Source organism: Homo sapiens, chromosome 5 (genome assembly GCF_000001405.40).
Source record: "Homo sapiens chromosome 5, GRCh38.p14 Primary Assembly".
Classification (NCBI taxonomy): Eukaryota; Metazoa; Chordata; class Mammalia; order Primates; family Hominidae; genus Homo; species Homo sapiens.
Window position 1 is genome coordinate 10,103,957 of NC_000005.10, and position 13,394 is coordinate 10,117,350.

The window sequence follows — 13,394 nt, forward strand, 5'->3', positions numbered from 1 at the left end:
CCTCAGGATTTTCAAGGTATGACTCCATTTGTCTTCATATCCCGCACTGAGTGGTTAAAAAGAAAACAGCGATCAACATGCACTAAAATGGATAGCTCTCCAAGGCACAACGTTGAATGAAAACTACAACTCTTCAAGTAAATTATGAAGAGTGATACCTTTTATATCAAAGGAATCTGGAGGGGGACTCACCAGTGCTTCACTGCGGGGAGGGGAAGGGGCGCTGGAATTGGGGGGCCTGGTCAAGGTAGGCAACAGACCTATGGATTGATTATCTATGTACTTTTCAGTTTGTCTTATCAATGAAACTTCCACCCACCAGATGCTCAATAAGCACACAATTCTGTGTTCTTATAGCTTACCATTTTTACCACCTTTATATTTAACTTTTAAATACAACTGGAATTTACTTAGTTACATAGTATTTAGTTATATAGGACGGTTTACAAGAATATTTTTTCCTATTTCCTTTTTTCCTATTCCCTATTTCTTTTCCTATTTCCCTTACCATTTGTTCCTACACCATTTATTGAATATTCCTTCCCTTCCCTACTGATTTAAAGTGTCTCCTTGAGGCATGTATCAATTTGAAAAATATGTAGTGTAGAACCCAGGTGTCCTAATTCCCAGCCTGGTGATCATTTCACTCCATCACTGAGTAGTTTTTTAAATTATTTTTCTTTTAGACATTGTCTTTTTCTTAATTTTTAAAACATTTCAGATTTCTAACACTCTGTTTTGTTCTTGGATCTGACTCTAGTTGGATTTTTACCACCTGCATTTGTTCTATTTTTCTAGGGTTTGAGTAAGGGGTTGGAGGAACACTTAGGTTTGTTAATTCATTCACTCAGCAAGCGTGGCTTTAGCAGCAGCTATGTTCCATGTACTGTTCCCAGCACTGGGGATATTAGGACATGAGGGCAAGGGGTTGCCTCTTATGTTTTTCTTTTGTCTTTTGTTTCAAGCTATTTCCCCAAGTTTTTTCAGTTTAATTATTCACTTCATCTGCCCTATGGCCACAGTTCCATGGACTGGTAGCAAGTGACCAGTACCTGCTCTTTGGGATCATCCATAGCTTTGAAAACTATTGTCTTTCTTTGGCCACCCCACATCCCTAGCAAGCTACTTTTCCCAGGCCTTACAAAGACCAAACCTACTCCGCTCCTGTGACAGGAATGCGTTTCACTCTGTAGAAGTGGGGGTTCAAGATGCTGGCATCTGACTATGAACCCTTTTCCACCTCTACTTCTGCTAAAAAACAAAAGGACTAGATCATAAGATCTGCTGCGCACTTTCCAGAGGAAAAAAAAATGTTCTTTGTAGCATAGAGAACCGACCAGGAAGCATTGTGAGACCTTTTCCAGTCAGTTCTGATTTATTATACAAACTCCAGGCCTCCAAGAGCACCAGGTTTCATGGAACTCTCTGCGGTATTTTGAATCCATAAGCCAATGAATAGATATTATATCTAAACCACAGGAAGCATCTACTTATCTGTGGTAAGTGTTGCGATGTCCTTCATTTAATAAACCACTTAGAGACACCGTGTGACTGAAGTGAGGAGGACTCTGTATTGGAGTTTAACTTGCTCAGGTGAGCTAAACTCAGTGGAAATTAAAGAGAGATGGTATTTTGTGTTTGGATCCATGACAAATCTAAAAAAACTAAAATAAAAGTAGTATATAGTCATGATACTTCTGTGAGCAGCAGGTGATCATCTTTACTACTTTGACTGCATGCATGACTGTCATAGGAATAATGTTTCATACTAAGGTGCAGATACTCCACATAAAAAGAGTGATTTTGAACCTGAAACAGCCCTCAAGAAGACAGTTTCCCAAGTGGGATGCCATAGCACAGTGGAGTTTGTCAAACAAGTTAACCCCCTCCGCCCTCAACACCAGAGCCAAGACCTCTCACCTATCACCATGGACGCCCTCCTCTCAGTACAAATGCTGCCATTTCCTGACGATGCCATGACGCAGAAGAAAAGAAGAAAACAAAACCATAAAGCACTGCTACAGTATAACTTAAGCCAAGGACATTATGGTGTCAATTTTATAGAAAAATCGTTTAGCAAATTGTCAAAGTTGTGGACATTCCAAATATGCAATTGATTTTCCTATTTTCCTTGTAGTAGGTATGCTGAGAAGAAAAGTCTCCAGAAAGGAAATGCTTGCTTAAAAGTGAGCACCTGGTATACCGTTAGTGGGACCGTAAAATAGCACAGCTGCTGTGGAAAAAGTTTGGCCGTTCCTCAAAAAGTGAAATATAAAATTACCATATGACCCGTCAATTCCACTCCTAAGTATATACCCCAAAAAGTGAAAACTAGCACTCAGATATATATATACATACATATATATATATATATATGCATATTCAAAGCAATGCAATTCACAATAGCCAAAAGGTGGAAACAGCCCAAATGTCCACCAGCAGATTAACAGATAAGCAAATTGTGGTATAGTCATACAGTGGAATACTATTCAGCCATAAAAAAGGAATAAAGTTTGGATATATGCTACAATGTGGCTGAACCTCAAAAATGTTATGCTAAGTGAAAGAAACATAATACAAAATGTCACATATTGTAGAATTCCATTTACATGAATGTCCGGAATACATAAATGCATAGAGAAGAAATGCAGCTTGCTGGTTGCCAGGGCCTGAAGGAAGCAGGCGAAGCAACTGCTTCAGGGGTACAGGCCTCCCTTTTTGGGTGATGAGAATGCTTTGGAACTAGGTAGAAATGGTGATTACACAGTGTTGCAAATGTACTCATTGCAAGTGAAACTGTTCACTTTAAAATGGCTAAATTTTTATTATGTGATTAAACATTAAATAATTTTTAAAACAGATGAGAAAAGAACTGTAAGCAAAAATATAAAGTAAAACAGCTAGGGCACCAGACCCTGAGCATAACATCAGTTAAATGATAAGAACCTACAGTCTGCTCTTTCACACTTTTGTGCCTTCTCTTTTCTGCAGAAGCTTTGCAGAGTTTGATTTCTGCAAAATACCACACCTTACATGCATGCCACAATGCTGTACTCCTCATTGCTTCTGAGTCACTGATAGATGAGGAAATCTGTCCTCAAAGAGAGAGCTGGAAAGGAAAGGCAGAGGGGAAAAATAAACCTTACATCCTTATGCCTGCATAGAGGACATCGCATTCATGTTTAACAAAAACAGAAAACAAAACAAAAAAAACAGACAGCAATATGAAGACAGAAGTATGAAGAGAAGTTTTGCAGCATGAAGATAATTCCAGGCTGGTGTGATCATGGGAGCATTGTCATTTCTGGAGACTTGACATTTCCAACCGGCAATCGTTTAAAATCATGTACATGCCATTTGCAACTGAACATGCTAGTGGGTAATTTGTTATTTTGAGATGGAAAACAAAGGCACACAGAGGTTCTCATGACTTGCTGAAACAAGAGACCAAGAATTAGAACCCAGTGCCCCAAGTGATGAGTTCTGGGCCCTCTGCCTCTAGCAGGGGCTGTCTTGTTGGTGATTTTTCTAGAGCTGGTGGAGTTCGGCCTCAGCACAGAACCTGAGTGAAGAAGCTGTCCAAATGGGTTTCTCCTTTCCCTACCTGCAGGCTTACCCTTCATCTGACCCATCCTGTAAACTGATACTAAGACAGCAATTCTTAAATACCTCTTCCAATGTGTCAGGTACCTACCAGGACTTCCCACATCCTACCCCACTCCGTCACTTCTTCCTCTGTCCCAGCTCCTCATAGCCAAAGTCACTTCCCCTACCCCGGTCATCTACCCTCTGTTTGCTCAGTCCATGGGGAATGGCCTCCTACACCTCATCCTAGACTTTGGCTCTGCACCCTTCCCACATCTCTGCCCTTCCAAACCCTCCTCCTCCCCACGGCATGAAACACAGGGCTAAGAACTCCAGCAAATACTTAAGTCAGCTGCTTGTCTCTTAGGATTGAGGAACCATTGGCATCTCAGCTTCTGCGAGCCCACACCTCCTTTGAAATAAGCCTGAGAGCTCAGAGCTTCAAATCCAAAACCAACCTGTTTTCAGCCACACTGCTCACCACCTTGGGGGTGCAAAATGAGACCTCCCAGGCCACCTGAGAAGAACAAGAAGCTTCTTCTCTTGTAAGCTGCCCCCACATAGCAACCCCTCTTTTAAGAGGGTGAATTAGTTTCCAGGGCTGCTGTAACAAATGACCACAAACTGAGTGGCTTAAAACAACAGAAGTGTTCTCTCTCACAGTTCTGGGGACCGGAAGTCCAAACTGAAGGTGTCCGCAGGGCCGTGTTCCCTCTGAAGGCCATAGCGAGTCTCTTGCCTGCCTCCCCGTGACCTCCGGTGGGTGCCTGCAGCCCAAGCATTCCGTGGCTCCTAGCTGCAGCTCTCCACTCTCCACGTCCATCGTCACGCAGCCTTCTTTCCCCCATCGCTGTGTCTCTGTTCTCTCTTCTTAGGAGAACATCAGCCACCGGGTCAGGGCCCACCCTCACCCAGTACGCCCTCATCTTAACTGTTAGGTTGGTGCAAAAGTAATGGCGGCTTTTGCCGTTGTACTTATATCTGCATGACTCTATTTCCAAATAAGGTCACCTTCAGAGGCTCCAAATGGACCTGGATTCTAGGGGGACACTATCCAACCCAATACCAGAGGGAAGGTGGGGAGTGGGAAAGATTTGGAATTAGCATTGTAAGGAGGATCATTCCAGTTTCTGTTACTCCATCTCCTCAGCTCCCCTGAAGGACTCAAGTGCCAGCTCAGCCTTTGCCATCTTGTCGCTCCCTCTCTAGGCCGCCCCCAGTCCCAGATGGGCTGGCTGTCTACAGGCACCAGCTGCCTTTCCATCCTGAAGGAATTCCTCAGCCCTGGCCTGCCTCACCTGAGTGTAAAGTTTGCAGAGACAGATATTAAATCAGGTTTTCACCTGGTTCATTACATTCTGATGATTTTGAACTACTGGGATTTTCAATCTGAAAGAAAACATTTTGATACGGCAATGCCCACAGGACAGCTCTAGGATGAGCTGTTAAAGGACATTTAGTGCGTCCTGGGAAGCAGCAGAGTGTGAGGCTATGTACAGACGCGCCACTTAAAACCCACCAGTCGACTCGCTAGACGGCCCAAAGGGAGATGTAGTTATGTGGAAGAGCTTTAATCAGAATTTAGGCATAAAATGAAAAGCTCCAAAGGAAAGCAGGTCTTTCAGTCTCTGCACGGCATCCTACAGATTCAGCCCAGCTCCTTTTAATGCAAAGTTTACCAAGTCAAGAAGGAACAGGCAGCCCAGAGACACTGGGTACAAATCATGGCTTTGCCAACCTTGTTCCTGGCATTGAGCTTTGACTGGGCTGGACCATGCTGTTTCAGAGAACCCAGCTCTTTCTTTTTATTTATTTTTCTTAATAGGAAGGGCTACTTGCATCCTTCAGTCTACGAACTGTTCTGGAGCTCAGACTCGCCATTGCCAATGTGACACATCTATACGCTCATCTCTTCCCGAGTCTGCAGTCAGCCTTGTGTCAGAAGAGTCCTGGGTCTGACTTCCTTTTTGTCTCTTAAAGCCCTTGGCAGAGTTCCCCACAAAGTGCCTTGCTCTCCCGGGGGTTCAGAAAGTTGAGTGCAATGAGCAGAAGCAATGTGATGTGTTCACGGGATTGGATTTGTATACATAAGACAATATTCAGCACACACTGCATTCATATATAGTAACGAGTAATGCCTATTGGGCAGCAGAAGGGGATGCTGGGGAAAAGGGAGCATGTCCTCTGAGACCCAGGCTTCATCTCCTGACATTGGCAAACCAGCTGTGCTGTGCAGCCTTCAGCTGTTTTTCAGCCTCCAGGACGTCTCTACCAGAGGTTCCGAGGGGCGTCTCTCGTGACGTGTCTCTAGTGACAGGTTCTAGACATAAGAGAGAAAGCATGATAGAATTTTCTTACTAGGCCATTTTGCATTTTGCAGATGTGGATGCCTGGTAAGAGCCAGAGGAAAAAGCCCCAGGTCAGATTGTCACTGTGAGCCAACCTGGATGGAAAGGGAGCTAAACTATGAAGCCACATGAGACGGGAGCTCAGAGGGCCCAGAGCAGAAGTGAGGTGAGTCGGACCCCTACTGTGCCTGCACGTCCCCCGCCCCCACTTCCCCCACTCATATGCCAAGGTCCTAACCCTAGTATCTCGAAAGTGGCCTTATTTGGGGATAAGCTCTTCACAGAGGTCATCAAGTTAAGGTGAGGCCATTAGGGTGGCCCTCATCCAAGATATCCTGTGTCTTTATAAAAGGGGGAGATTTGGACACAGAGACAGGCACAAATAGAGAACCACGTGAAGATTCAGGGGGAAAATGGTCATCAACACGCTAAGGGCAAAGGCCTGGAACAGAGCCTCCCCTCACAGCCTCAGACGGAAGCAACCCTGTCAGCATCTCGATCTCAGACTTTCAGTTTCCAGAACTGTGAGACGATACACTTTTGTTTAATCCACACTGACAGTTAAGCCGTAACCTTGTTACAGCAACTGCCGCAAACGAATATGCCTGCAGTGACCGGTCCTGTATGCCTGCCCTGCTTTGCAGGTACATGGGGGCATTGAAAATGGAATCCATGCCCAAACCAGCCTCAACCAGTCCCCTTTGGTCAGGTCGTGGTGCTGTCAGCTTTCATCAGTGACACTCATTTCCATGACATTCTAGCTTAACAGATATGGTGCACCAGAAAGCTGCCTAGCAATTTCACAATATCAACCAAATTATTTTAACATGGCCATCTTTTCATTCAGCAATTGCGTGTCCAAGGATGTAGAGAATTTCCCCCAAGAAATACAGACAAGTCCTCAGAGATGCATATAAGGATGTTTGCAACAGCATTTTTCTGTTCCTCATTGATTGTTTTCATATTTTGTTTGAAAATAATTCAAATTTACAAAAAGTTGCAGAATAAAAATAGTAAATGCTTGTATGCCATTGACCCAGAGTTTCTCATTGTCCACAGTTTGCTTCATTTATCACCTTCATTTATCACCCTCTCTCTCTCACCCTCTCTCAACCATTTGAACAAAGATTGCTTACCTTTCAGCCCTTTAATTCTAACTATTTCAATGTGTGTTTCCTAAGAATAAGGATATCACCTTACATCACCACAATACAGTCACCAACTACAGTAAATTTCTCAGTAAATCAGGACATCCCCTCATCAAAACAGTGTTTTTATTCAATCTGCCTTCCACAATCCAATTTTATCAACTGACCCAAAAACGTCCTTTTTTTTCTCCACCACAAAATCCAGTCCAGGCTCAGGCATTGCATTTAGATGTCATGATTCTTTCATTTCCTTTAGTCTACAACATTTCCACAGCCTTTCCTTGTCTTTTATGACATTGACGCTATTGAAGAACACAATTTATTTTTAATAGACTAGCCCTCATTTGAGGTTTGTTGCATGTCTGCTCGTGGCTGGGTTCAGGTTACTCCAGTTCAAGGTGGAAAACCCCACAAATGATGCTCTGTCCTTCCCAGGGTGTCCCATCTGGAGGTCCAGGATAGCCACCTACTCCTCACTGGTGATGTCAATTTTTATCACTCAGTCAAGTATTGTCCAATTGCTCAATTGTGTAATTGCTACTTTTTCCCTTGTAAATAACACGCAGTCTGTAGGGAGACACTGTAAGACCCTGTAAATATCTTGCTTCCCTTAGGTTTAGCACACATGGATGACTTTTGCCTGAGCCAATCTTGACTCTAATGCCTATGAAACGATAGTTTTCCAGCTCCAGCATGCCCTCTAGAGTGACTGCCTTACTCAGCATCCTACTACAAACCTCACTACTCACACGTGTGCCAGAGGACAGAGACACACCCTGCAGGGCTTCCTGAGCCTGGCCTGGTAAGGAAGTTTCCAGAGCTTTCGCAGTCACGACATCTCCTCTATGACAAGAGACAAGTTCCTGCCCTTGCATTACTTGCCACGAAGAAAACGACACAATCTTTGCAGGCTGCTTTGAATTTTAGAGGCAAGACGAACCACATTTGAAAATGCTGCTTTAACTGTATAACCCAAAAGGTAACCCTGTCAACCCAGAACGTCTTTTCCCTGCCCCCAGCACTTCTATCAGACTCACCATTAGTGGAGTTACAGAATGCCTCCATGCCTGAACCAGTACCCTGGTATCCCGCGTAATATCATCTCCAACCAGGGAACATTTTACAATAAAGGAAATGATTCCATGGGCTCAGGCCTACAGAATTCCCTGGGTTTGCTACATGCCTAATACCAGAAGCCACTGGCTGGACAGAATGATGAATGGTCTGCTGAAAGCCTGGTTATAGTACCAGCTGGAAGAAAACATTCATTCCGTCTATGAAGTAACGGGCAAAATGCCCGCCTTAAAGTTTAGGGATTAAACCAATGGTCAACCTATGGTGTCATCATCCCTCATAGCCAGGAGCACAGGCCATGGAAACAAGGGGTGGAGGTGGAAGCACCCCCTCACTATTACGTGTAGTAACGCACTGGAGAAGTTTGCTTCCCATGCCTAGAACGTTGGCTTTGGTGGGTGTGGAGGTTGCCTTAGTCCATTCACACTGCTAAAACAAAATAGCATAAACTGATAGCTTACAAATGACAGAAATTCATTTCCCAATAGTTCTGGCAGCTGGGAAGTCCAAGATCACAGCAGATTCCGTGTCTGGTGAGGGCCCATGTTCTGGTTCATAGACGGCGCCCTCTCGCTGTGTCTGCACATGGTAGAAGGAGTGGGGAGCCCCCTAGGGCCTCTTATATAAGGACACCAATCACATCACAAGAGCTCTGCCCTTATGACTTCCCAAATGCCCCACCTCCTAATACCATGGCCTTGGGGGTTAGGATTTCAACATACAAATGGGGAAGAGAGAACATAGACATTCAGACAATAGCAGAGGCCCATGTCCAAAGCAGGAAAACAGGCATGGTTCTGAGTAACTGGAAGTCAAGATCTCCTTGTGAGGCTGTTTTGGCTTCCTTGTGCCAATAAACCAAGGACCAGAGTGGGGAGTCCAGCGGAAATTTGGGGGAAGGTACCAAGAAGGACTGTTTGAAACCTAGAGAATCCATGGGGTTCCTGCTTTGTTCTCCCTTGCCTCATGTTCCTGGTCAACAGAAAACTGCAGAAAGGTCACCACAATCTCATGTCCTGCAGGAATGCAGCCGTGGGTCACCTCACCAGGTAAAGAATCCATCCAGCATATGGCTGGCAAAAGGCAAGGGAACTAGGGAAAGGAATGGCTGGTGGAAAGGAGCGCTGGGCCTCTCAGGACCTCCTGACCAGCTGTCAAGCAGGATCGTAGCAGCTAGGTGTATGTACCCACTTGATTGTCACTGCCTCAGTCCTAAATCCTTATGTGAAGGGCATAGGCTTGGCTGACCTTTCAGGTTTCAAGTGGAAACACAAGTAAATTAACATCACTTTGCAATAAGAGTAGTTGATGGCACTTCATGCATTCCCTGTGCTGGGGACATGAGCTTTTTATCCAAAAGAACAGAATAGATGCTGGGGGCAAAGGGGTGGGCTGGGCCAGATGCCTTCTGTTTGCTCTTCCAGGTTTGTCTCCTCCTGCTGCACCTTGGCCTCGGCCCCAGGAGGCTGGATTGCTCACACTCTATGACAGGCCCCCAGAAAGTCTGTCCTCTAGTTGGGTTTGCTCAGCGGGAGCCCCAGCAGCAGAGGAAAGGGAGTGAAGTCAGGGTATTTCTTCTCTGGTTCCTCCCTGAGGTCACCTCGGGCTGGTATGTCACTGTTCCTCCCTAGGTGGCTTGCTCCAACCACTGTTTCTTCCGGGTTTCAGTGACCTCTCCTATCCTTCAGCCCAGGCAGGAATGGCTTCACTGTCACAACCCTAGTTCCTGCACTGGGCTATGGTTTCCTTATACCTGCCACATCTTTGATTATTTTCTTTATAAATAAAGCCTCCTTGATTTATCCTAAGAGAGCACACCATCTGTTATCCCTTGGCGCCCTAACCAATACACAGAGTTTCAATAGTGTGCCCAGGGTCCTGCAACTGTGAAGCAGTAGGGACAGCAGTGACTTGAGACCAGGCTCCCGGCCCTGATGCTCGTTCCTGCCCCAGCCCCTTGGCCCACCCAGGAGGATCCTGCACCTTAAAGGACAATCCACCTGTGCTCACAGCTGCCAGCTCCCAGCACCCACATCCTGTACATGGGGCAGGCAGAAGGGCTACACACAGAAGGCCCCACACAACCCCTCCACCCACAGGTATGGAACAGTTGATAAATGCCCAGTGTCCACCCCCTCAGGGGGGACAATACACATTCCCTCAGAGAGCTGCAGCAGGATCCATCTCCAGCCACCCATGAGGGTGACCAGCAGGCCCTCCACTGTTCACCCCCATTTCCCAACTCTTTTCCTCCCCTCTTGGTGTCTCCTGGGAGCACCTCCCCACACACTACTCACACCCAAACCTTTGTTTCAGCAATTAAAGACACCCAAACTGACATAGCACCCGGCCTGCACTCCCTCCTTCTGTGCAAGCCACCTCCCTGAGCTACTGAGCACTCAAAGGCAAGGGTGTAGCCTTCAGAGATGGAGAAGAAATCATTTTCACATTAGAATGGCACAGCCAGCCAAACGGTCAATGAAGGGAAATAGCAAAATGGTACATCTTCTGAGACACACAGAATGTGGTTGACAGGGCTGAGCATGGTGGCTCACGCCTGTAATCCCAGAGCTTTGGGATACCGAGTCTGGCGGATCACTTGAGGTCAAGAGTTCAAGACCAGCCTGGCCAATACGGTGAAACCCTGTCTCCAATTTAAAAAATTAAAAAAAAAAAAATCCAAAACTTAGCCCAGCATGGCGGCACATGCCTGTAATCCCAGATGCTTGGGAAGCTGAGGCAGGAGAATTGCCTGAACCTTAGAGGTGGAAGTTGCAGTGAGCTGGGATTGTGCCACTGCACTCCTGCCTGGGCAACAGAGAGAGACTCCATCTCAAAAAAAAAGGGGGATGTGGTTTACAGGATAGCAGCTCCCAAAGACATCTATGCTCGGGACCTGTGAATATGCACCTTACGTGGCCAAAGGGGCTTTGCTGCTTTGGTTAGGGTTACAGGAGCCCTTAAAAGCACAGGACTTCCATGGGCTGGAGGACAGAGGCTGGACGCGTAGAGAGGAACTCGACCGCTGTTGCTGGCCTTGAAGACCAAAGAAGGGGGTCAGGAGCAGGGAACATGGGTGGCTTCTGAATGCTAAGAACAGCTCCCCCCACCCCAGCCAACAGCCAGCAGGGACACGGGGACATCAGTCCCACCCCTGCATGGAAAGAAATTCGGAACTTTAAGGTAAGAAATGGATATTGTTGTTCTCACTCTTAGGTGAGAGCTAAACAAAGGTACACATGGACATACAGAGTGGAATAATAGACACCAGAGACTCCAAAAGGTGGGAGGGGGCTAAAGGATGGAAAATGATCTGTTGGGTACAATGTACACTACTCAGGTGATGGCTACACTAAAAGCCCAGACTTCACCACTACACAATATATCCGTGTAACAAAACTGCACTTCTACCCCCTAAATCTATTTTTTTAGAAATGAAAACAGTTTGTGATGCATCTTTAAAACAAATAAATAGATGTTGTTTTAAGCTCCTAAGTTTGTGGTAAACTGTTATGGTAAAAAGAAAACGAATACACAGAATGACAAAAATTTATTTCCACATGCCACATCTTAGAAAACTGCCTGAGGATGCACTCTAGCAAAAAGAGGGAGTAAACAAAGAAAGGGGGTGGTGCAGGGGCTAGAAAATAGTGTCCTCCACTGAGGACAGTGGAGACCAAACACAGATCCCACAGGGGCGGGAGCTCTCCAGGGCAAATTGGGGAAGCGGGGCTGAGCCCACCAAGGGTACAGGTAGGGATCAGCCCTCAGTCTCCAGCAGGGCCAAGCCAGTCTGTAGAGGGGAACACATAGAAGAGCAGCTGCCTTAGTCAGTGACCCCAAAATACTAAGGTGGGAAGAAAGCCCCAGTTGCCTGCTGGTGATAGCGGGCAGCCAGTGGTGCCTCCATCATCACTCTCAGTGGAAGGATGGCGACTTGGCCCAGGCCTTAGTGGAAGACTTGTACCTCAACTGTTTTCATCTTTTCTTTGGGTCCAGATAATGAAACATCTGTGGCAAGAGAGAGAAGAGAAAGAGAAAGAGAAAGAGAGAGAAGATGTGTATCTCTTGTGTTGATGAAACACAAGAATTAGATGTTTAAATATATTATTTAGAGTTACACAGCTAAAGAAAAGTGGAACTAAATAAGTGATGTCGTTATAGGAGGAGGAGAAGCAGGGGTGGGGTGAATCCTCATCTATTTCAGCAGGAAGCTAGTAGATGGTGTTTAAAGTTGATAAATCAAGAGAGAGCCACATAAGTGCATTGTTTACAGACATGGAGGTAACCACCAGATTTAAAATGAGACAGTTAAAAGCAGTTTTGTTTCGAGAACTGAACTGAGGAGGAAGAATAGAGCAAAAGCCTGTTATTTTTCACTACATGCCCCTCTGTACTATTTGGTTTTCTAATCCCATGCATGAAATCCTTTTATATATATTGTTTTTACAAAAGAAGAAAAAGAGAGAGAAGAAGGGAGGGAGGGAGGGACCCCTGCCTGAACATGCATCACCAAAGCCAGAGCCAGCAGGAGGTTGCAACAAGCTGGAACTGCTCAGGCTGTGCCCAAGGAGCCCCCAGCACTGCTGCCCTCCTGCTGGTGTGGGGCACATTGCTCCAGAGATCAGGGTGGGGTCAGCTGGCAGCATGGGAGACAGGCTCAAGGATGGGGAACAGCCTGGGTCAGGAGAGTATGATGGTGTTGAAGCTAGCCCCAGGGGGTCTATCAAGGCAGGTGTAGCAACTGTTCCAGACACTTCCAGGGTTTGGCCTAAGCCTGGACATCTGTGTTTGCTAAGGAGATTCCATCATTTGGGGGACAACTTGAACAGATCACTCAAGGAATGAAAACTGGGCATATGACCAGCTGACTCTTCCTCCTCTTCTTCCCAATGTCCTCAGAGAAGTAAAATAAAGCCCAAACTCTCCAGCAGAGTGCAAGGTACTTGTTGGAGGAAAGGAAGAGAAGGCTGCTCTTTAGGCGACTTGTCCATAGCAAGGCCAGCTGGGGCCACCTGTGGGAGACCTTTGTCCAACCCAGAATGAGGTGTCAGCTGGAGCTTAGGGTCATATTGACTCCATATAAGGGTCATACACAGAATTTGAGGGTTCACAAAACACATTGCATGCATTACCTGATCTCGTGCTCATAAGCACCCTGCAAGTATAGAAGGCCAATATAACTTCCTACTGACAAGTAGGGAAAGCTCAAGCTCACAGAGAGTAAGTAACGAAGCCA

General features: G+C 45.9%; 2 annotated features.

Moving 5' to 3' along the window:
• Positions 4,099-4,880: an enhancer, noted in NCBI's record as "H3K27ac hESC enhancer chr5:10108167-10108948 (GRCh37/hg19 assembly coordinates)". NCBI's record gives its function as "activates a minimal SCP1, AML or CMV promoter by ChIP-STARR-seq in primed H9 embryonic stem cells {active_cell/tissue: H9 hESC(primed)}" and the evidence as "EXISTENCE:reporter gene assay evidence [ECO:0000049][PMID:30033119]".
• Positions 7,676-7,775: a silencer, noted in NCBI's record as "silent region_15912". NCBI's record gives its function as "represses an Ori minimal core promoter by ATAC-STARR-seq in GM12878 lymphoblastoid cells {active_cell/tissue: GM12878}" and the evidence as "EXISTENCE:reporter gene assay evidence [ECO:0000049][PMID:35858748]".